Source organism: Homo sapiens, chromosome 17 (genome assembly GCF_000001405.40).
Source record: "Homo sapiens chromosome 17, GRCh38.p14 Primary Assembly".
In the NCBI taxonomy this organism is placed as follows: domain Eukaryota; kingdom Metazoa; phylum Chordata; class Mammalia; order Primates; family Hominidae; genus Homo; species Homo sapiens.
In genome coordinates, this window is record NC_000017.11 from 3,758,128 (window position 1) to 3,779,548 (window position 21,421).

At 51.8% G+C, this 21,421-nt stretch overlaps 1 protein-coding gene across 3 annotated transcripts in view, besides 2 other annotated features; it reads right to left on the reverse strand.

The window, feature by feature from the left end:
* ITGAE (integrin subunit alpha E) overlaps positions 1–21,421 on the reverse strand; it is an 86,561-nt gene that overhangs the window by 43,500 nt on the left and 21,640 nt on the right. For all 3 annotated transcript variants that reach the window (NM_001425071.1, NM_001425072.1, NM_002208.5), the window contains exons 2-8: positions 19,413–19,533; positions 5,742–5,833; positions 3,788–3,855; positions 3,276–3,393; positions 2,886–3,050; positions 2,045–2,160; positions 1,275–1,426 (exon numbers count right to left, since the gene is read on the reverse strand). In NM_001425071.1, coding sequence (NP_001412000.1) covers positions 1,275–1,426; positions 2,045–2,160; positions 2,886–3,050; positions 3,276–3,393; positions 3,788–3,855; positions 5,742–5,833; positions 19,413–19,533 — 832 coding nt within the window. The remainder of the gene's footprint in view (positions 1–1,274; positions 1,427–2,044; positions 2,161–2,885; positions 3,051–3,275; positions 3,394–3,787; positions 3,856–5,741; positions 5,834–19,412; positions 19,534–21,421) is intronic.
* Positions 5,552–5,651: an enhancer, noted in NCBI's record as "active region_11515". NCBI's record gives its function as "activates an Ori minimal core promoter by ATAC-STARR-seq in GM12878 lymphoblastoid cells {active_cell/tissue: GM12878}" and the evidence as "EXISTENCE:reporter gene assay evidence [ECO:0000049][PMID:35858748]".
* Positions 12,523–12,642: an enhancer, noted in NCBI's record as "active region_11516". NCBI's record gives its function as "activates an Ori minimal core promoter by ATAC-STARR-seq in GM12878 lymphoblastoid cells {active_cell/tissue: GM12878}" and the evidence as "EXISTENCE:reporter gene assay evidence [ECO:0000049][PMID:35858748]".

Genomic DNA, 21,421 nt, shown 5'->3' on the forward strand with positions numbered 1-21,421 from the left:
ATGATATTAAAACGATAGATAATACTCACATGGCACTTATCATGTGCCAGGCACTGTTGTAAACACTGTATATTTTAAGCCATCCAACCATCACAAAATCTATCAGGCAAGTGCTATTATTTTTCTTTCTTTTTTAGAGACGGCGTCTCACTCTGTCACCCAGGCTGGAGTGCAGTGGTGTGATCATGGCTCACTGCATCCTTGAACTTCTGGGCTCAAGCAATCCTCCTGCCTCAGCTTCCTGAGTAGCTGGAACTATAGGCACAAGCCACTGCTCCAAGCTGTGAGTACTATTATTATTCTCATTTTATTTATTTATTTTTATTATTATTATTATTGAGATAGATGGAGTCTCGCTCTGTCACCCAGGCTGGAGTGCAATAGCACGATCTCAGCTCACTGCAACCTCTGCCTCCCGAGTTCAAGCAATTCTCCCTGCCTCAGCCTCCCGAGTAGCTGGGATTACAGGCACCTGCCACCACACCCAGCTAACTTTGTATTTTGAGTAGAGACGGGGTTTCACCATGTTGGCCAGGCTGGTCTTGAACTCCTGACCTCAGGTGATCCACCTGTGTTGGCCTCCCAAAGTGCTGGGATTACAAGCATGAGCTACCACGCTCAGCCTATTTTTCTCATTTTTAAAGTGAGGAAACTGAAGCACAGGTCACAAGGTCCTTCAGTTTGCCCGGGGTCACACAGATACAAACCAGAGCTGAGGCCGGGCGCGGTGGCTCACGCCTGTAATCCCAGCACTTTGGGAGGCCGAGGCGGGCGGATCACGAGGTCAGGAGATCGAGACCATCCTGGCTAACATGGTGAAACCCCACCTCTATTAGAAATATAAAAAATTAACTGGGCGTGGTGGTGGCCGCCTGTAGTCCCAGCTACTCGGGAGGCTGAGGCAGGAGAATGGTGTGAACCTGGGAGGCGGAGCTTGCAGTGAGCTGAGATCGTGCCACTGCACTCCAGCCTGGGTGACAGAGCAAGACTCCATCTCAAAAAAAAAAACAAAAAAAAAAAACCAGAGCTGAGATTTGAACCCAGCCAGCCTGTCCACTGAGCACTCTGCTCTCCTGCATCTCACAAGAGGAAGTCTTTGGAAGACTTTTTGGAGGACAGCCTTGAGGTGTCATCCCTCACGTTCTCTCTCGGCCAGGGAAAGGCTGGAGCCCTAATTCTCTTCTCCTGCGGTTCTGGCCAGCCACTTCCTCCATGAGTGATGCCACAGAGACTCTGGGCATGGCCAGAATAATTCCTGCAGCCCCCACACTCACAAGACGTGTTGCATGGCTGAGGCAGTCTTGGTGACACTCCCCACTTGAGTGATGTTCTGGACTCTGGCGAGGGAGGCCATCACATCCTGGCTGTCCCGAAGGTCAAACTCAGTCTGGATCACTCCTCCATACTGCACCAAGGCAAAGTTGCACTGCAGGGGATGGGCAGGAGGGCAGGAGGTTGGAAGAATTGCCACCTCTGCCCCTGAAATGTCTCCCGCTGGAAGCAGCAGAAAAATCCACTCCTTCTACCTTATCCCTGGGCAGAAAGAGATGCTAAGGCAGAGCAAAATCTCTAAGCGAGTAGGGGTGGAGAAGGGTGCGATAGTAAAGGCCCCCAGTGAATCACAGACTTCTCCCCAGCTCCCTGTGTAGTGCCCTCCATACTGACGATGGGATTGGTCATGTGACTGGCTTTGGCCAATAAGACATCAGCAAATGTGATGTAATTAGAGACTTGAAAAATACTTGCATGCATTGGATCTGGCCCTCTTAGAATGTTGCTGCCACGAAAAAGTTGGGCTGGCCTGCTAAAGACACATGGTCCAGACAAGTAAGTGAGGTCATCTTAGGCCATCCAGCCCCAGTCAAGCAACCAGACGCCTGCAGCTCCAGGGTAACTCCAGGCAAGATGGACAGAAGAATCATCCAGCTGAGCCCAGCCCAAGTATGTGACCCATAGAATTGTGAGCAAATGTGGTGATTGTTGTTCTGAGGTAGGGTGATTCTCAGCAATAGATAAGTGTTAACCAGCTCTTAGGGAAGCCCACCTCAAAACACTTTTCATAGAAGTTCCTCATCATGTTGGAGATGAAGTCTTTGGCTCTCTGAAAGTCTGGGGGATCAATGCTTCCTGAGCCATCCAGGATGATGGCAATCTCGGTGCCTGGCCAAGACAAACAGGTCAGGAGTGGGCATGGGATGTGAGGCAGATGTAAGGGTAGCATGTGTAGGGCATGCACCCCCACTGCAGCCCTGACAACCAGCTCAGTTCAGGGAAGAAGTTGGAGAAGCTCCCAAGAGGGAAGCTTTTTTTTTTTTTTTTTTTTTTTTTTTGAGACAGAGCTTCACTCTGTTGCCCAGGCTGGAGGGCAGTGGTGGGATCTCAGCTTACTGCAGCCTCCGCCTCCCGGGTTCAAGCAATCCTCCTGCCTTAGCCTCCCAAGTAGCTGGGACTATAATGCACACCACCATGCCTGGCTAATTTTTGAATTTTCTAGTAGAGTTGGGGTTTCACCATGTTGGCCAGGCTGGTCTTGAACTCCTGACCTCAAGTGATCCGCCCACTTCAGCCTCCCAAAATGCTGGGATTACAGGCATGAGCCACCTCACCTGGCCCCAAGAGAGAAGCTTTTGTCTCCCCCTTCAAAAAGAGAGCTAGAACCTGGTCAGGCTTTGTGTGCTGTGTGAGCCATTCCCATCACTACCACTCTCTGAGCCTCAGTTTCCCCACTTATAAGAAAGAGTGGGTGGAGCTGGTACAGGTCAGGTCTGTAAAGTCCAGCCACTGCTCCCCATCTCTCAGACTGAGGCACCCCTCACCCTTGGAGGCCACCAGCCTAGGAATTGGCTCTGATAGACTCAGAGCAACCCAGATCTGCCTCTTCTCACCAGCTTCCTCCTCCTCCTCGTCTTCCTCCTCCTCCTTGTCTTCCTCCTCCTCCTTCTCCAGAGCCCGGCGCTGCCTGGCTGTGTTCACATCGTCTTCTCCACCGCCTTCTTTGTTGCTGTAGCAGTCTCCAGTGTCCACACGTGCATCTGGATCCAGGAGATTTTCTTTAAAAACACACATGGAAGAGCTCAGAGTCAGAAAGGCTCCATCCTCGCCTGAGCACGCTCACACATGGTTCTGCCCTGATTCCTTTCACGTGATGCCTCAACCCTGCCTTGCTCCACTGTGGGCCTGCGTCCCACTGCATCTGCCGTGAGCTGGTGCCTTTTCTTGGAGACCAAGGAGATCTCTTTAGAGCTATCCAAGGCCAGTGAATGTCCAATCCTTACCAAGGTCGAAGAAGTTGGCCTGAGCCTGGGGACGGAGGTCAGGGCCCAGGAGGCTACAGGTGCCTGTGAGTTCTGAGCTGAGGCTGTGAGGCCGCCGGACCAGCACTTGAATGCATATCTGTGGGAGGGAAGAGAGGGTGGGGAAACACCAGGTCACCTCCCGATTCCCGAGCCACAGCCACATTCTCACCCCCATTCCAGAACTCAGTGGCTCAACCAGGCAGGGGGCACAGGAAGAGCTGGCCCACCCCTCACCGGGTGTAGGAGTCAGTGTTGGCATCAAGGCCGAGGCCGACACCTGCAGGAGTGTGCTGGGTCACAGGGAATACCTAGGTCAGCCCTGGTATCAGGGTGGTCAGAGCTACAGTCAGCCCTGGGGTTGGCACCAGGGAGACGCTAGACTCAGCCTCGGGAACAGCATGGCAGTCAGAACTGGTCTCAACACCAGGGTCAACCACGAGGGCTAGCACCAGCCTCCCTAAGGCCCTCCCTCCTCTCGCTCCTGCACTCACCAAAACACCGTGGTGGCTCCGGACAACGGTCACTCCCCGGTGCCTCCCCTTGGGGATGGGGACATGCTCTGAAAAAGTTAAGCCCAGGTGAGGAGGAGGAGGGGACTCTGGGAGGCAGAGACCCGAAGCCAAGGTCAGAGGGCACAGAGCCACCTTGGTCAGGCCCCCATGAGGAACTGTTGGCCACTCAGAGAAGCCTCTAGAAAGCTAGAGCGGGGGCCTTCAAGGTCAGGACTGGACACGTTCAGGGCCGAGTGCCCATCCCCGGGGCTCATTTGCTGACCCTTTCAACACGTGCCCATTGACGTCTGCTCTGTGCCCAGCCTTGTGAGCGTGGTGATGGGCGTCCAGCAACAGCGGATGCCTGCTGCTTTTCCTCAGTGGGTTTGGTCGGGCAGGTGGGTGGAGAAGCACTGCCTGGTGGGTATGTAAGTGCCAAGGAATGTGCAAGATACCGTGGGACTGGCTGTGTGGACCAAGGAACCCCCCAGCCTCACAGACCCATCCTGGGGAATCTTACTGCCCCCAGCCTCAGGGGCAGAAATGGTAGCTCCTTCCTCGTCCTCCCCACTGTCAGCCTCAGGATACTGTCTTATTTTTCAGTCATGGAATCACTCAGTCAACCCTGCTGGACTGAGATTGAGTCTGTTCAACTCAGTGCCTCTCAGACAAGGATTTTTTTTTTTTTTTTTTTTTTTTTTGAGACAGAGTCTTGCTCTGTCGCCCAGGCTGGAGTGCAGTGGCGCAATCTCGGCTCACTGCAAGCTCCGCCTCCCAGGTTCACGCCATTCTCCTGCCTCAGCCTCCTGAGTAGCTGGGACTACGTGTGCCCGTCACCACACCTGGCTAATTTCTTTTTGTATTTTTAGTAGAGACGGGATTTCACCGTGTTAGCTAGGATGGTCTCGATCTCCTGACCCATGATCGGCCCACCTCAGCCTCCCAAAGTGTTGGGATTACAGGCATGAGCCACCGTGCCTGGCAGGATTTTTTTTTTTTAAACAGTCTTGCTCTGTTGCCCAGGCTGGAGTCCAGTGGTGCAATGTCAGCTCACTGTAACCTCCACCTCCTGGGTTCAAGCGATTCTTCTGCCTCAGCCTCCCAAATAGCTGGGATTGTAGGCATGCACCACCACGCCTGGCTGATTTTTGTATTTTTGGTAGAGATGGGGTTTCATCATATTGGCCAGGCTGGTCTCGAACTCTGGACCTCAAATGATCTACCCGCCTTGGCCTCCCAGTGTGCTAAGATTACAGGCGTGAGCCACGGCGCCCAGCCTCAGACAAGACAAGGATTCTATTTATTTATATATATATAGCCAAGAGGTTGTCAGTAAATCTGTGACCTGAGTTTGACTGGGTAGGATGGATAGAGTTTAATGAGTGAATCAGGTTCATTCATTCATTCATTCATTCATTCATTCAAATGGCATTTATTGAGTACCTAATATATGTCAGGCCCCATGCTAGTTACTAGGGTGGCCACAGTTAGACTGAATATGTAGGGGGTGAATTGCACTGAGGTGTGATGACTTGCATCAGGAAGGGCTAGAGTTTCGAATCAGCCACCAACACTAAAAGTGTGAACTTTGTCATACTGGCAACCAAAAGACCTACATTCTCTGAACTGTAGCTTCCTCTCTTATAAATGGCGCGGTTTTGAGGATGAAAACAGAATGACTCAGAGGACTGCCGGGCACAGGGTGGGCACGCAATACGCTGTAGGTATCATTTCTGTTGCTAGGACTGTGTCAGGAAAGGTGGCTGGGGATTAGGATTGGGTTGGGGTGGGACTGGGCATTGGGATGGAATCTTGCTGTGGGTTATGCTGGAGTCTAGGGGTGAACGGGCTGGATGAGGCAGGGCTGGGGTTGGAATGGTTTGAGTTTAGATGAGGGGGATTTTGCTAGAAAGGGGGTCCTGGGGAGCATTCCCTGGAGTTGGGGCTGACTTACCTACAGGATGGCAAAGGATTTCATCCTGGACAAGGGAACATCGATGGAGGGGCCCTGGTGTCCTCTTGGTTCTGGGGCTGGTGACCAGGAGCCTGAGTGGGAGGGGAGGTTGCAAAGCTGAGCTGGCTGATGTTCCTCGTCTTCTCCCTGCCTGCCCAGCACCCTTCCCATTCCAGTTGCCTGCACTCACAAGCTCCCTGTCTGGCCGGCAGATTCCTAGCCCAGACTCTGGATTATGGGGAAGACATTTGCCCAACCTCTGCTTCTACACAGCACCAGGCAGGAAATGGTTAAATGCAACCCCTCTCTGCCTGCTGCCCACCCTGACAAAGAAGGGGTGATACTGATGGTTAATAAAAACTCTGCTCTCTTATGGGGACAGGGATGGGGAGGCCAGAAAACCACCAGCGTTGGGGTTGGTTCTGTTGGGGGCAGTGCTGGCTTCCTCGTGGGCCACCCAGGGGGCCTGCCCTGCCTGGCCTTAGTTCCTGAGAAGAGTACGCTGGTGCCCCTATCCTGTGGGTCAGTCAGAACTGGAGGTTTGGAGGCCGGGCGCGGCGGCTCACGCCTGTAATCCCAGCACTTTGGGAGGCTGAGGCAGGTGGATCATCTGGGGTCAGGACTTTGAGACCAGCCTGATCAATATGGTGAAACCCCGTGTCTACTAAAAATACAAAAATTAGCCGGGCATGGTGGCGTGTGCCTGTAGTCCCAGCTACTCAGGAGGCTGAGGCAGGAGAATTGCTTGAACCTGGGAGGCAGAGGTTGCAGTGAGCGGAGATCACGCCACTGCACTCCAGCCTGGGGGACAGAGTGTGACTTCGTCTCATAAATAAATAAATAAATAAAAGAACTGGAGGTTTGGGGGTGGCTGCCTCAGCCTGATTAAGGCAGCCTCAAGAGCTGCGCCTCCTGACTGCAAACTTCTTGCCCCCACCCAGGCCCAGTCCAGGGAGACGGCAGATTCCAGGGACAGCCTCAACATTCTCACCATCCACGTTACCCAGGAGAACTGGGCTGTCCTGAGACAGACAGTGAGCTCCGGGGGTTGTCATAGGGGATGGTGGGGAGGGGACGAGGGGCTTGGTGGTTAACAGTGAACCAAGTCCAAGGTCTTTCTGCAGAGGGCAGTAGAAGTCATGGAGGACTTTATAAAGGGGAAGCACATGATTAGCTGTGCTTTCAAAAGCTCATGATGAGGCCGGGCGCGGTGGCTCACGCCTGTAATCCCAGCACTTTGGGAGGCCGAGGCAGGCAGATCACGAGGTCAGGAGATCGAGACCATCCTGGCTAACATGGTGAAACCCCGTCTCTACTAAAAATACAAAAAATTAGCCGGGCGTGGTGGCGGGTGCCTGTAGTCCCAGCTACTCGGGAGCCTGAGGCAGGAGAATGGTGTGAACCCAGGAGGCAGAGGTTGCAGTGAGCCGAGATCACGCCACTGAACTCCAGCCTGGGTGACAGAGCGAGACTCTGTCTCAAAAAAAAAAAAAAAAAAAAAAGGTCATGATGTGGCTACAGTGGGTTGGGACAGACTAAAGAGCACAGGAAGGTGGGGCAGAAATGAGATACCGTCTCCACTTCCTCAACTCCTATCACTCTACATTTTAATACATTATGAAATATATTCACGTATCGGCATGGCTTACAGAATAATAAGAAAGTCTGCACCTGTGCGTCCATCCGCCCACCCACAACTGAACCCACCCCAAGCTGACTTCCCACCCTCTGAGTCAGTTCCTGTGAAGGTCACCAGGGGCCCCCACAATGCCACATCCAACGGACCGCTCTCTGTCCTCATCTTCCTCAACCTCTCAGAAGCCCCAAACATGAGTAACCATCTCCTTCGAACACTTTTTTCTAGATTTCTGCCTACTCTCTCCTCATTCCTCAAGGCTTCGCTGGTGCCTTCGCGGTCTGACCTCTATCTGCCACCAGGATCTGGGGGCTGGGTCACTGTCTTCCTTGCCGGCACACTCTCCCTAGTGATCCCTTCCAAGCCCATGGCTTCAATACACCTATAACGGCTGAAATTCCCACCTCTCCATCTGCTATCGTAGGCAGAATAATGGCCCCCCAAAGAAGGCCACGTCCTAATCCCCAGAACCTGTGAATATGTTGCCTTTTATGGCAAAAGGGACTTCGTAGATGTGAGTTAATAAATTAAGGATCATGAGATGGGGGGGTTATCCTGGATTATCTAGGTGGGCTCAGTGAAATCACAAGGGTCCTTCTATGAGGGAGGCCCCGAAAACGGTGGCATGGGCGAGCCGCAGGGACTCAGGGGGACGTTGAGGCAGGCAGAGGGGAGAAGTGGCGAGACTGCAGGGAATGCTGGGAGCCTCCCAAGGAGGCCTCTCCCATCCCAGAAGCCCCCAGGGCTGTCCTGGCTGGGCTGTAAAGCCCCAGTGTAATCACAAAAGTCCTTCTAGGAGGGAGGCAGGAGAATCAGAGTCGGAGAAAGTTGTGAAGCTTGCTATGCTGCAGGCCTAAGGAGGAGGAGGAGCCCGTCAGCCAAGGAATGCAAGCAGCTTCTAGAAGCCTAAAAAGGCAAGAAAACAGATTCTCCCCCAGAGCTTCTAGAAGGGACCCAGCCCTGCTGATAGCTTTTCAGACTTCTGACCTCCAAAACTACAAGATAATAAACTTGCAGCTGGGCTCAGTGTCTCACACCTGTCATCCCAGCACTTTGGGAGGCCGAGGCAGGCGGATCACCTGAGGTCAAGAGTTCAAGACCAGCCTGGCCAACAGGGTGAAACCCCGTCTCTACTAAAAATACAAACATTAGCTGGGCATAGTGGTGAAAGCCTGTAATCCCAGCTACTCGGGAGGCTGAGGCAGGAGAATCACTTGAACCTGGGAGGTGGAAGTTGCAGTGAGCTGAGATCTCACCACTGCACTCCAGCCTGGGTGAAAGAGTGCAAAATAATAATAATAATAATAATAATAATAATAATAATAATAATAATAATAATAATAAACCTGTGTTGTTGTAAGCCACTACATTTGTGGTAACTTGTTACAGCGTCGATAGGAAACAAACAGAACCTGTGGTCTTTCCTGTCAAGCCTGCTTCTTCTCATCTTCCCCGCCACAGCAAATGGCACCAGCAACCACTAAGTTCTCAAGGCAAAACCCAGGAGGCATCCTCACTTCGTCGTGTTTTCACTCATGCCCTACATCCAATCCACCTGCCAACCCTGTTGGTTCTCTCTCCAAATTCTTTTTTTTTTTTTTCTTTTTTTGAGATGGAGTTTCACTCTTGTCGCCCAGGCTGGAGTGCAATGGCACGATCTCGGCTCACTGCAACCTCCACCTCCTGGGTTCAGGCGATTCTCCTGCCTTGGCCTCCCAAAGTGCTGCGATTACAGGCGCCCGCCACCATGACCAGCTAATTTTCGTATTTTTAGTACAGATGGGGTTTTCACCATGTTGGCCAGGCTGGTCTTGAACTCCTGACCTCAGGTGATCCACTCACTTCGGCCTCCCAAATTGCTGGGATTACAGGTGTGAGCCACCACACCCGGCCAATTTTTGTATTTTTAGTAGAGACAGGGTTTCACCATGTTGGCCAGGCTGGTCTTGATATCCTGACCTCAGGTGATCCACCCACCTCAGCCTCCCAAAGTGCTGGAATTACAAGCATGAGCCACCGTGCCTGACTCTCCAAATTATTTCTAGAAAGCAACTCTTCTCCAGATGCTCCTTCCATCATCGTCCTGCCTTGTTGATGGTAATAGCCTCCTGTTATTTTGTGGGGTTTGTTTGTTTTTTAGGTAGTGTCTTGCTCTGTTGTCCAGGCTGGAGTGCAGTAGTGTGATCACAGCTCACTGCAGCCTTGACCTCCCGGGCTCAGCAATCCTCCTACCTCAGCCTCACAAGTTGCTGGGCCTACAGGAGCGAGTTACCTTGCCCAGCTAATTTTGTTAATTTGTCTATAGAGATGAAGTCTCACTGTGTTGCCCAAGCTGATCCTGGGCTCAAGCACTCCCACCTTGGTCTTCCAAAGTGTCAGAGAAAGATGCAAAGCTTACTATGCTGCAGGCTTGAGGAGGAGGAGGCCGTGAGCCAAGGAATGCAGGCAGCTTCTAGAAGCCAAATAAGGCAAGAAAACAGATTCTCCCCCAGAGCTTCTAGAAGGGACCCAGCCCTGCTGACACCTTTTCAGACTTCTGGCCTCCAAAACTACAAGAAAACTTCTATATTAATAGAAGTGAGCCACTGTGCCTGGCCCACTTATTTGGTTTTTAATTTACTCATGTAATTTTTTTTTTAAGACAGAGTCTCCTTCTGTCACCTAAGTTGAAGTACAGTGGCATGATCACGGTTCACTGCAGCCTTGACCTCCCAGGCTCAAGCGATCCTCCCACCTCAGTCTCCCAAGTAACTGGGACCACAGATGCGTGCCATCACACCTGGCAAATTTTCTTATGTTTTGTAGAGATGGGGTTTTGCCATGTTGCCCAGGCTAGTCTCGAACTCCTGGGCTCAGGTAATCTTCCTGCCTTGGCCTCCCAAACTGCTGGGAGTGAGCCTAGTGAGTTACAGTGAGTTTCAGGCATGAGCCACAGCACCTGGCCCACTCATGTAGTTTACACCAATGTCCCTTCTGTCAGTGGCAGCCCCAGTTCCTGGGTGACCAGCGCCAGCATTTCCTGCCTCAGGCCCTCCACGGCGCTGTTCCCTCCACGGCACTGTTCCCTCCACCGCGCTGTTTCCTATTCCCAGAGCCCTCACCTTCCACTCTCCCCAAGGTTGGCTTATTCTCCTTCCCCAGCCTCGCCTGTCACCTCCTCATAAATGCTTTCTCTACCCAGCCGTGCCTCACAACCCAGTTACTCTGCTTCACATCACCCTGTTTGATTTCCTTCTCAGAACCTGCCATCATCTGATAGTGCCTATTATCTGTCTCCCCACGAGACAGTAGGCTCCCGAAGGATCTTGTCTATCTTCTTCACTGTGTTATTCCCAGGGTCTGGAGCAATGCCTGGCACAGAACAAGGGCTCAGTAAGTGTTGAGTGACTATTGAACAACAGCCCAGGCAACAGCTGAGGGGGCTCATCTGGGGCAGGGCTGAGGGGCGGAGGGCTGGGTGCAGCAGAGAGCTGCTCCTCTGTTCCGGCTCTGCAGCTGAGCCCCCAAATTAGGTTGCTTCCTTAGCAACCCTGCCTCTCTCCCCAGCCCCGACCTCAGCCCTAGACCCAGCATCTCCTTCCCTGCTCCCCCAGGAAGGGTGGGGTCAAAACTGGGCTCCACCGCAGACCCCGTTTTGGTGGGGTAGGTGCAGGCCTGGACCCGCCTCCAGTCTCTCTCCTCCTCAGTCCTCTGCCCGGACTGTTTCCTCTGCCTGCGATCCCTCCTGCTGCAGAGCAATCATCCCAAACCCCAGCTCCTCAGGAAGCCTTCCCAAAGGAAGTGCAGCCTGATCCCCTCCAGGCCCTGCAGCAGCCCTGACTATAGCACCCCACCCCCACCCTTTCTTCCCACCTGGACTGCGCGTTCCCAGGAGGCCATCATGAACAGCTGTGCAGGGTGCGCACTGCAGATCCCAAGACTGCCATTCATGCCGCCATCATGCAATGACATGGCCTGGGGCCCTCTGAGCTGCCTCTGCTTCCCACACCTTTTATCCCCCACTGCCGGGAGTTTGCAGGTTTGTTGACCACGTGGCTGACAAACCATTGACCCACCAGCTCTGACAGAGGACTGGCCATCAGCTCGCAGCCACAGGGGCCCTGTTACACCCTGAGCTGGGTACAGCCCAGCAACCCTTGTCCATCTCCTGCCTTTATTTATTGCTTTAGTATGTTTTTCGTTGTTTGTTTGCTTTTTGAGATGGAGTCTCACTCTGTCTCCCAGGCTGGAGTGCAGTGGCGTGATCTCGGCTCACTGCAACCTCCGCCTCCCTGGTTCAAGTGATTCTCCTGCCTTAGCCTCTGCCTCCTGAGTAGCTGGGATTACAGGCATGTGCCACCACCACACCCGGTTAATTTTTGTATTTTTATTAGAGATGGGGTTTCACCATGTTGGCCAGGCTGCTCTTGAACTCCTGAGCTCAGGTGATCTGCCTGCCTTGGCCTTCCAAAGTGCTGAGACTACAGGCACGAGCCACCATGCCTGACCTTATTTAGTATTTTGTATTTAAATGTTTAACAATCTTTTTAACTGGTCACTGACTTGAAGCTCACATCTTGCCTTCACCCAGCTCTAACCTGTCCTGTTCTCAGGGTTTATTTCTTTCTTTCTTTTTTTTTTTTTTCTTTTTTTTGAGATGGAGTCTCACTCTGTCGCCCAGGCTGGAGTGCAATGGCATGATCTTGGCTCACTGCAACCTCTGCCTCCTGGGTTCAAGTGATTCTCCTGCCTCAGCCTCCTGAGTAGCTGGAATTACAGGCACCTGCCACCATGCCCAGCTAAATTTTTTTTTTTTTGGTATCTTTAGTAGAGATGGGTTTTCACCATGTTGGCCAGGCTGGTCTCGAACTCCTGACCTCAAGTGATCTGCCGGCCTCAGCCTCCCAAAGTGCTGGGATTACGGGTGTGAGCCCCCATGCCCAGCCCTCAGGGTCTATTTCCATGTCTGCTGTCTGTCCCACCCATACCTTCTGTGGCAACCAAAACCCATGATGCTGCCAGCCCTGGTCTCTTACATTTTAAGAGAGACAATGTGAGTGAGAGGCACACGTCATTCTCAAGCAGGAGCACAGCCCCTGCCTTTTTCTAGGCCCGAGTTGGCCAGCCAGCGCACTTCCTGCCCCATGCAGCAGGCCCGTGGTCTCAGGCCCCACTCTCTGCAGCAGGAACCCAGAAGTGCCTCCCACCACATCCTCCTCCCCAGCGTGTTCAAGCCTGGGAGCCCCTCTCTGCTTCAGCAGGTGTTCAGGGAGCCCCGCTGGGCCCTCCCCCAGCCCCTGGTGGACTCAGAGCCCTCTGCGACACGGGCTCCAAACTCTCTCCTGCACCCTGGCCTTTAGGCTTCTGAGAGAGGGGCTGTGAATGTCGGTGGGACCTGGAGCTGAGGCGTGGGGTCGCTGGGTATTGGTGGGAGGGAACTAGGCAGGAGACAGTTACAGAAAACGCTGACTGAAACCTGCTCACACCCTACAAACAGTATGGAAAACTGAATGCAGAACCAATTGCATAACTTCTGACCCAGCAATCCCACTCCTGAGCACATATGCCCTCCCCAAAAATGAGTACATTCTTTGGGATCAACTCTGAGGGATTAAAAAAAAAAAAGAACATTCATCCATCAAAAGGAGGTGCACATCAGTGCTATTCATCACAGCCCAAGAAAACAGCCCAAATGCCAATCATCAGTACTGTCGACACAATGTAACCCTGGCAACCAGAAGAAGTACCGCCTGGGGCAACACGATGGATGAAATTCACAGGCCTTATGTGGAGAGAGAGGAGCCCGACGTAGCGGGGCACACACCGTATGCCTCGTTGATACTAAATGCAAAACCAGGCGAGGCTAATCCACGGAGATGAAAGTCAGCTGGGGGTTACTCTTGGCAGCAGATGTGTCTGGAAGGGAGTGCGGGGCTTAGAGGGGGCCTAGGCGCCGCAGCTCACGTGCCCTTGATCTGCATGCTGCTTACACAGTGCTTCACTCTGCGGATGTTCACTGCGCTGCATGCTTATGAGGTGTGCATTTTTCTCTTTTTTTTTTTTTTTTTTTTGGAGAGACAGAGTTTCATTCTTGTTGCCCAGGCTGGAGTGCAATGCTGCGGTCTTGGCTCACTGTAACCTCCGCCTCCCGGGTTCAAGCGATTCTCCTGCCTCTCCTAAGTAGCTGGGATTACAAGCGCCCACCACCACACCCGGCTAATTTTTATATTTTTAGTGGAGACGGGGTTTCACCATGTTGGCCAGGCTGGTCTGGAACTCCTGACCTCAGGTGACCCGCCCGCCTTGGCCTCCCAAAGTGCTGGGATGACAGGCGTGAGCCCCCGCGCCCAGCCGGGTGTGCATTCTTCTGTATGGCACATGTTGATAAAATTTTACCCAAACCAAACACAATCTTGACCTTTAATTCATCTTCGTGCAACACAAAACTCCCTGAAAACCTCACCACCCCTCCCGGCTTCAGACCCTCTAGTTCCTCCAAACCCTCAGTGCCTGGGTGACGAGGCACCACCACACTCTCCCAGCTTACTTTTCATCACTGTCAGCTTTAGCCACACGTGATTTTCTCAGTTTCCTGACCTTACTCAGCCGGCCTCCAGGCTTCTGATCAAGCTGTTCTCTGTGCCTGCCATCCCCTTCCCGTTCCTTCTCATGCTAATTCCCAGTCACCCTGCAAATCCTAGTAGACGCTGATGAACACACCTGCCTCGATGCGCCCCCCCGTACCTCGGACGTCCCCCAACAGAGCTGTTATTCGGTGGGGTCATTGTCACTCTTGTCATCGTCTAGCTTGTGTTTCCCTCATGAGCCCGGGAGCTCCATGAAGGCAGTGACCATGTCTCCCTCTTATTCCCCAAATATTGCCTGGCACTGAGTAAGTGCTCCATCCATACTTGCTGAATGAATGAATGAATGAATGAATGAATTGGCCCCATCCTTACCACTTAAATCTAATGGTGAGCAGACTTTTTTTTTTTTTTTTGAGACGGAGTCTCACTGTCGCCCAGGCTGGAGTGCAGTGGCGCGATCTCGGCTCACTGCAAGCTCCGCCTCCCGCGTTCATGCCATTCTCCTGCCTCAGCCTCCCAAGCAGCTGGGACTACAGGTGCGCGCCACCACGCCCAGATAATTTTTGTATTTTTAGTAGGGACAAGGCTTCAGCATATTGGCCAGGCTGATCTCAAACTCCTGACCTCAAATGATCTGCCCGCCTCAGCCTCCCAAAGTGCTGGGATTACAGGCGTGAGCCACCGCGCCTGGCAGTGACCAGACTTTTGACTGCACCGATGAAACCAGGATCCAGAAAGGACTCTCTAATGATGTAGGAAACGTCGAGCTCTGTCTCCCCTGCAGCTCTCACAACACAGAACAGTCCAGTGACCCCAGGTGGGTGGGGTTTTCCCTCCACACGGGGCAAGCAGTCCTTCGGCAACCAGCTCCAGCTGAAGGTCCTCACGTTCAACTCAATTCCGACATGCTCCACCTGGAGGTAGCATCAGCCCTCACAGGTCGAGGTCTCAGTCCCACAAGACTGCTCCTAACTTCCGAGGCCCATCACCAGCCGCCGGTTATTTCACCTGTGCTTTCGACCAAACAACCATATCAGGGTTTCTGGGACCCTTTCCTTGGGCTTAATTTGCTAGAGTGGCTCAGAGAACTCAGAGAAGCACTTACCGACATTTACTGGTTTATTATAAAGGATATTACAGGCCAGGTGCCTTGGCTCACGCCTGTAATCCCAGCACTTTGAGAGGCCGAGGCGGGCGGATCACGAGGTCAGGAGTTCGAGACCAGCCTGGCCAACATTGGTGAAACCCCGTCTCTACTAAAAATACAAAACTCAGATGGGCGTGGTGGCAGGCGCCTGTAATCTCAGCTACTAGGGAGGCTGAGGCAGGAGAATCGCTTGAACCCAGTGGTTGCAGTGAGCCGAGAGCATGCCACCACACTCCAGCCTGGGTGGCAGAGCAAGACTCTGCCTCAAAAAGAAAAAAAAAAGATATTACAAAGGATACAGATGAGGAGATGCATAAGGCAAAGTGGGGGTGAGGGGCAAAGTGGGGGTGAGGGGCAAAGCTTCCATGCCCTCTCGGGGGCCACCCTCCAGAAACTTCCACATGTTCTGCTACCCAGAAGCTCCCCAAACCCTGTCCTTTTGAGTTTTATGGAGGCCTCATTACATAGGCATGACTCATTGAATCACTGGCCGCTGGTGATCAACTAAACCTTCAGCCCTTCTCTCCCAGAAGAGGGGTGTGGGGCTGAAAGTCCCAACCCTCTGATCGTGCCTGGTTCTCTCCAGTGACCAGCCCCCATTTTGAAGCTATCTGGGGGCTGCCGGTCCCCCGTCAACTCATTAACAAAGAAAAAGACATTTATTACTTTGGAGATTCCAGAGATTTTAGGCATGTATGCCAGATAATGGGACCAAATGTTTATTTTGAGACCAAATATATTTTTATTTGTTATATTGTAAAATATATATTCAGTCTTGGAATGTCAAATATACATTTCACAGTATCACAGGATCCAAGTCTGCCTGGCTGTCAGGGTCAAGGCCCAAGTCCCAGGGCCTATGAGGCTGCTTCGGGAGCCACCACTGCCCACCCATCCTATTCAAGCAAAGCTCCCGCCCTGCCCAGCCAGGAACCCTGGCTCCTCACCTGGCTCTGCCCCAGTGCCTGTTTGAACCCTGGGCTCACTTGCTCCTGTGTGCTGGGTGTGAAGGAAACCCTTGACCACTGACCAGGAGCAAAGCAATCTGGTGGGCTGGGGTGGGATGAGGAGGTAACCATCCTAGGCTGGGCCCGCTCAGTGGGAGAGTATGCACAAGAAAAGCCCTATGACCACCCAGAAAAAAATGGGGGAGAAATCACTGCTTTGGATTGAAATCAATGACAGAGACATAACAGCAATACGTAATACATAAACCTTGACCAGATCTGGCTTTAAAACAACACAGCACTAGAAGTCATTTTGGGGCCAGGTGCGGTGGCTCATGCCTGTAATCCCAGCACTTTGGGAGGCCGAAGTGGGCAGGTCATTTGAGGTCAGGAGTTCAAGACCATCCTGGCCAACGTGGCGAAACCCTGTTTCTACTAAAAATACAAAAAATTAGCTGGGCGTGGTGGCGGGCGCCTGTAATCCCAGCTACTCAGGAGGCTGAGGCAGGAGAATCACTTGAACCCAGGAGGCGGAGGTTGCAGTGAGCTGAGATTACACCACTGCACTCCAGCCTGGGTGACAGAGCAAGACTCTGTCTCCAATAAATAAATAATAGGTAAAGAAATAAATAAAAGTCATTTTGGTGACACATGGGAAATTCAAATGAGCCTCGGATCTCATGACCCTTTCCACCAGAGCTTCTCCTAACTGCAGACACACTCCTACATCAGCACGCGGCCACCATCGCCATCTGAGGGAATGCATATTTTACTTACTTGCTTCTTTTTTTTTTGAGACAGGGTCTCGTTCTGTCACCCAGGCTGAAGTGCAGTGGCACAATCGCGGCTCACTGCAGCCTCGACTCACCCGCCCCCGGGCTCAGGCAGGTCTCTCACTTCAGCCTCCCAATAGCTGGGACGGACTACAGGCTTAAACCACCATATCCGGCTGATTTTTTTATATTTTTTGTAGACAGGGTCTCACTGTGTTACCCAGGCTGGTCTCGAACTCCTGGGCTCATGTGATCCACCCGCCTTGACCTCCCAAAGTGCTAGGATTACAGGTGAGCCACTGCACCTGCCAACCTTTGTATATTAAATTCTACAACTTGCCTTTTTCAACTCACGGTATGTTTCCAGATGGATCCAGGTAAACAACCATTGCACTGGCTTCATTCAGGGGATCTGCTTTTAGTATTGCATTGCATGAGTCATATCAGTATTTTTCCCATTTTCCTAAGAGGAATATTGCCAGTCTTTCATGATTCCAAACAATGCTACCACAAACATTTTTTGCTTGCTTTTCTTTTTCTGAGACAGAGTCTCGCTCCGTCACCCAGGCTGGAGTGCAATGGCACGATCTCGGCTCACTGCAGCCTCCACCTCCTGGGTTCAAGCAATTCTCCTGCCTCAGCCTCCCAAGAACCTGGGATTACAGGCGCCCGCCACCACACCCAGCTAATTTTTTTTTTTTTTGTATCTTTAGTGGAGACGGGGTTTCGCCAGGTTGGCCAGCCTAGGTCTCGAATTCCTGACCTCAGGTGATCCACCGGCCTCGGCCTCCCAAAGTGCTGGGATTACAGGTGTGAGCCACTGCGCCCGGCACACAAACATTTTTATATGTGTCTGAGAATTTCTCTAGAGCTGGGATCGGGGAGTGGAAGTGTCAGAGGCCACGTGCATCCTCAGCTTTACCAGATACGGCAAAATTGCTCTCCAAGGTGGTGATCGCAATTCACACTCCCACACGTCCCTGTTTCACCGCAACCTTACCAGCAATGTTGGCAGATTTTACATTTTGCTTATCTAATAGGTGGGTATAGATGATATTTAAAAAATGTAAAGTAATGTTTATTGAGCATTAATGTGGCCAGAAATTGTGCTAAGCCCTTTTTTTTTTTTTTTTTTTTTGAGACGGAGTCTTGCTCTGTCGCCCAGGCTGTAGTGCAATGGCACGATCTTGGCTCACTGCAACCTCCACCTCCCAGGTTCAAGCAATTCTCCTGCCTCAGCCTCCCGAGTAGCTGGGACTACGCGCGTGTACCACCACGCCCAGATAATTTTTGTATTTTTAGTAGAGACGGGGTTTCACCATGTTGGCCAGGCTGGTCTCCAACTCCTGACCTCAAATGATCCGCCCGCCTCGGCCTCCCAAAGTGCTGGGATTACAGGCGTGAGCCACCGCGCCCGGCAGAACCTGTGCTAAGCCCTTTACATGCATTATCTCAAATAGTCTTTGCGACAATCCTGTGAAGTAGGTAGTTCCCCACGCTGACTGCAGAGAAGGGAAACTGAAGCTCAGGCCCGAGCACCTTGCTCAGGCTATGCGGCAAATCCACGGTGAAGCTGCCACTGAACCCTGGCTGCCAGAGCCACAGCCTGCCTCTTACCAGTACACGCTTGTTCCTCATAGTTTCAGGGTTTTTGTTCTGGAGACAGGCCGGAGTGCAGTGGTGCAATCACGGCTCCCTACAGCCTCGGCCTCCGGGCCCAAGTGGTCCTCCTGCCTCAGCCTCCCAAGTAGCTGAGACTACAGGCAGGCACCACCATGCCCAGACAGTTTTTGGTTTTTTTTGAGTTGGGGGGGTCTCACTATGTTGCCCAGGGTGGTCTTGAACTCCTGGCCTCAAGAAATCCTCCAGCTTCAGCCTCCCTAAGTGTTGAGATTACAGGCGTGAGCCACGGTGCCAGGCCCAGTTTTTTCTTTGTTATTTTTTGTTTCCAAATGTTCTATATTGAACATGTGTTACTTCCATAAGGAACAAAAGAGCCTTAATATGCTTTATTTTAAAATTGTCTTTTTTTTTTTTTTTTGAGACGGAGTCTCGCTCTGTCGCCCAGGCTGGAGTGCAGTGGCGCCATCTCGGTTCACTGCAAGCTCCGCCTCCCGGGTTCACGCCATTCTCCTGCCTCAGCCTCCTGAGTAGCTGGGACTACAGGCGCCCGCCTCCTCGCCTGGCTAATTTTTTCTATTTTTTAGTAGAGACAGGGTTTCACCGTGTTAGCCAGGATGGTCTCAATCTCCTGACCTCGTGATCCGCCCGCCTCGGCCTCCCAAAGTGCTGGGATTACAGGCGTGAGCCACCGTGCCCGGCCACTAAAATTGTCTTTAAGTCCACCCTCCCCCTGGGCAATGGAGCAGGGAGAGGCCCAGTGAGGCGTGAGGCTGGGGTTCCGTGGACCCCACAGACCAGCCCGATGCCCACAGCCTCTCTCACACCTTCTCTCTTTCTCCTGCATGCCCTTCTGAAAGAGAAAGGAGTTCCTCTCCTGACGGTGGGGTGGGGTGGGCTGCCATGGCCGTCTCTGGGGCCCATCTCAGATTGCCTGGAAGCCCCTCAGTCTGAAGGCCTCTTGCCCACCGGCCCTACTCACCAGGTCTGGTTGGTGCTGGGGTCTTGGTGCAGAAGGGAGCTGAGCACGAAAGGGGCACCTCCCTTGGGCGTGAGCCAGGGCCGGGCCACATCCACATTGAAAGCGGCCAGCAGGGCCAGGCCTGTAGGGAAAAGAGGAGCGTTTAATGAAAGAGGCCTTTTACTCCCGTTATTCCAGCAAATCCTGTGGTGTCATGAACCCCGTTTTACAGCTGAGAAAAGTGAGACTGCCCAGGGATCTTTATGTGTGTGTGAGAGAGAAAGACTAGACGCAGGTGTATCTGACCCAGAGCCTCTGATCCTCCTACTAAACCAAGCTGTACCAGTACCCGAGCCCCCCTCCTCCAAGAAGCCGCCCCTAGCTCTCCCCAAAGAAGCACTTCCCACCTCCTCACGCCTCTTACTGTCATTTCTGCACCTGACACACAGCGTGTACTCACGTCACTGCGTCTTGTACTGAAGTTACAGTAGACTGTGAGCCCCAGGAAGAGGGCCTGTGTATGTTCTATGTACCCCCTTCAAGCGACCCACGAGAAAACGTATCCCCAAAACTGCCTGCACAAGAATGTTTTATACCAGCTTTATTCGGAAGAGCCCCAAACTGCAAACAACCCAAATGTCCATCAACAGGAGACTGGAAAAGCCCACTGTGGTATATTCCTACAGTAGAATCCTACTCAGGAGTAAAGAGGAGTCAACAACAGATACAGCAGCGTGATGAATCCCAAAAATCATTATGCTGGCCGCGCGCCAGTGGCTCATGCCTGTAATCCCAGCACTTTGGGAGGCCGAGGCGGCTGGATCACTTGAGGTCAGGAGTTCGAGACCAGCCTGGCCAACATGATGAAACCCTGTCTCTACGAAAAACGCAAAAATTAGCTGGGCGCGGTGGCACGTTCCTGTAATCCCAGCTACTCAGAAGGCTGAGGCAGGAGAATTGCTTAAACCTGGGAGGCAGAGGTTGCAGTGAGCCGAGATTGCACCGCTGCACTCCAGCCTGAGCAACAGAGCAAGACTCCGTCTCAAAACAACAACAACAAATATCATTATGCTGAGTGACAGAAGCCTTAGGTCTTCCTTCTTTCTTCTCATTTATGTGTGATTTTTTTTATTTACAGCAGAATAGGCTCATGAATTCTATTTTATTCAATGGTTATAATCTGTTATCACTATATTGGTTCTCAAAGTGTCCCTTATTTGGCCTTTCCATGAAGAAATCATTGGTACTGGACTAATTCTTTCACCATAAACAACTAGAATACTGGACAAAACCTATAAAATGTTTTCAGACATTTGACAATGGGCAGAGCAGGACAGTGATCTCTAGAAAACATGGACAAATAACACGAGCCCTGTCGTTACCCTCAGCTTTCTTTCTGGAGGAATTTTATGACCCTGATGTAGGGAAAGGGAATTCAAACAGAGCACAGCAGATTTGTTAAGCTAAGGCAATAAAAATCATATTGTATAACTCCATTTATATGAGGTTCTAGAACCAGCAAAACTAACCTATAGTAAAAAAAAAAAAATGCTTGAGAGGATGGGACTAACTGGGAAGGGACTAGAAGGAACTTTCTGGAATGATGAAAATATTCTATATCTTGATAGGTGTTTGAATTACCAAGGTGTGCATGTGTCAGAACACACGCAATGAATGGTCCACTTAGAATTTGTGCATGTCACTGTATGTAAATATTACCTTAAAGAAGAAGCACAAACACATTTTGTTGATATGTATGCTGAAATGTTTAGAGTTGAATTATACTTAAGTCAGCAATTTATTTTTATTAATTTCTTTTTTTTTTTTGAGATGGGGTCTTGCTCTGTCGCCCAGGCTGGAGTGCAGTGGTGCAATCTTGGCTCACTACAACTTCTGTGTCCCGGGTTCAAGCGATTCTCCTGTCTCAGCCTCCCACATAGCTGGGATTACAGGCGCCTGCCACCATGCCCGGCTAATTTTTTGTATTTTTAGTAGAGACAGGGTTTCACAATGTTGACCGAGCTGGTTTC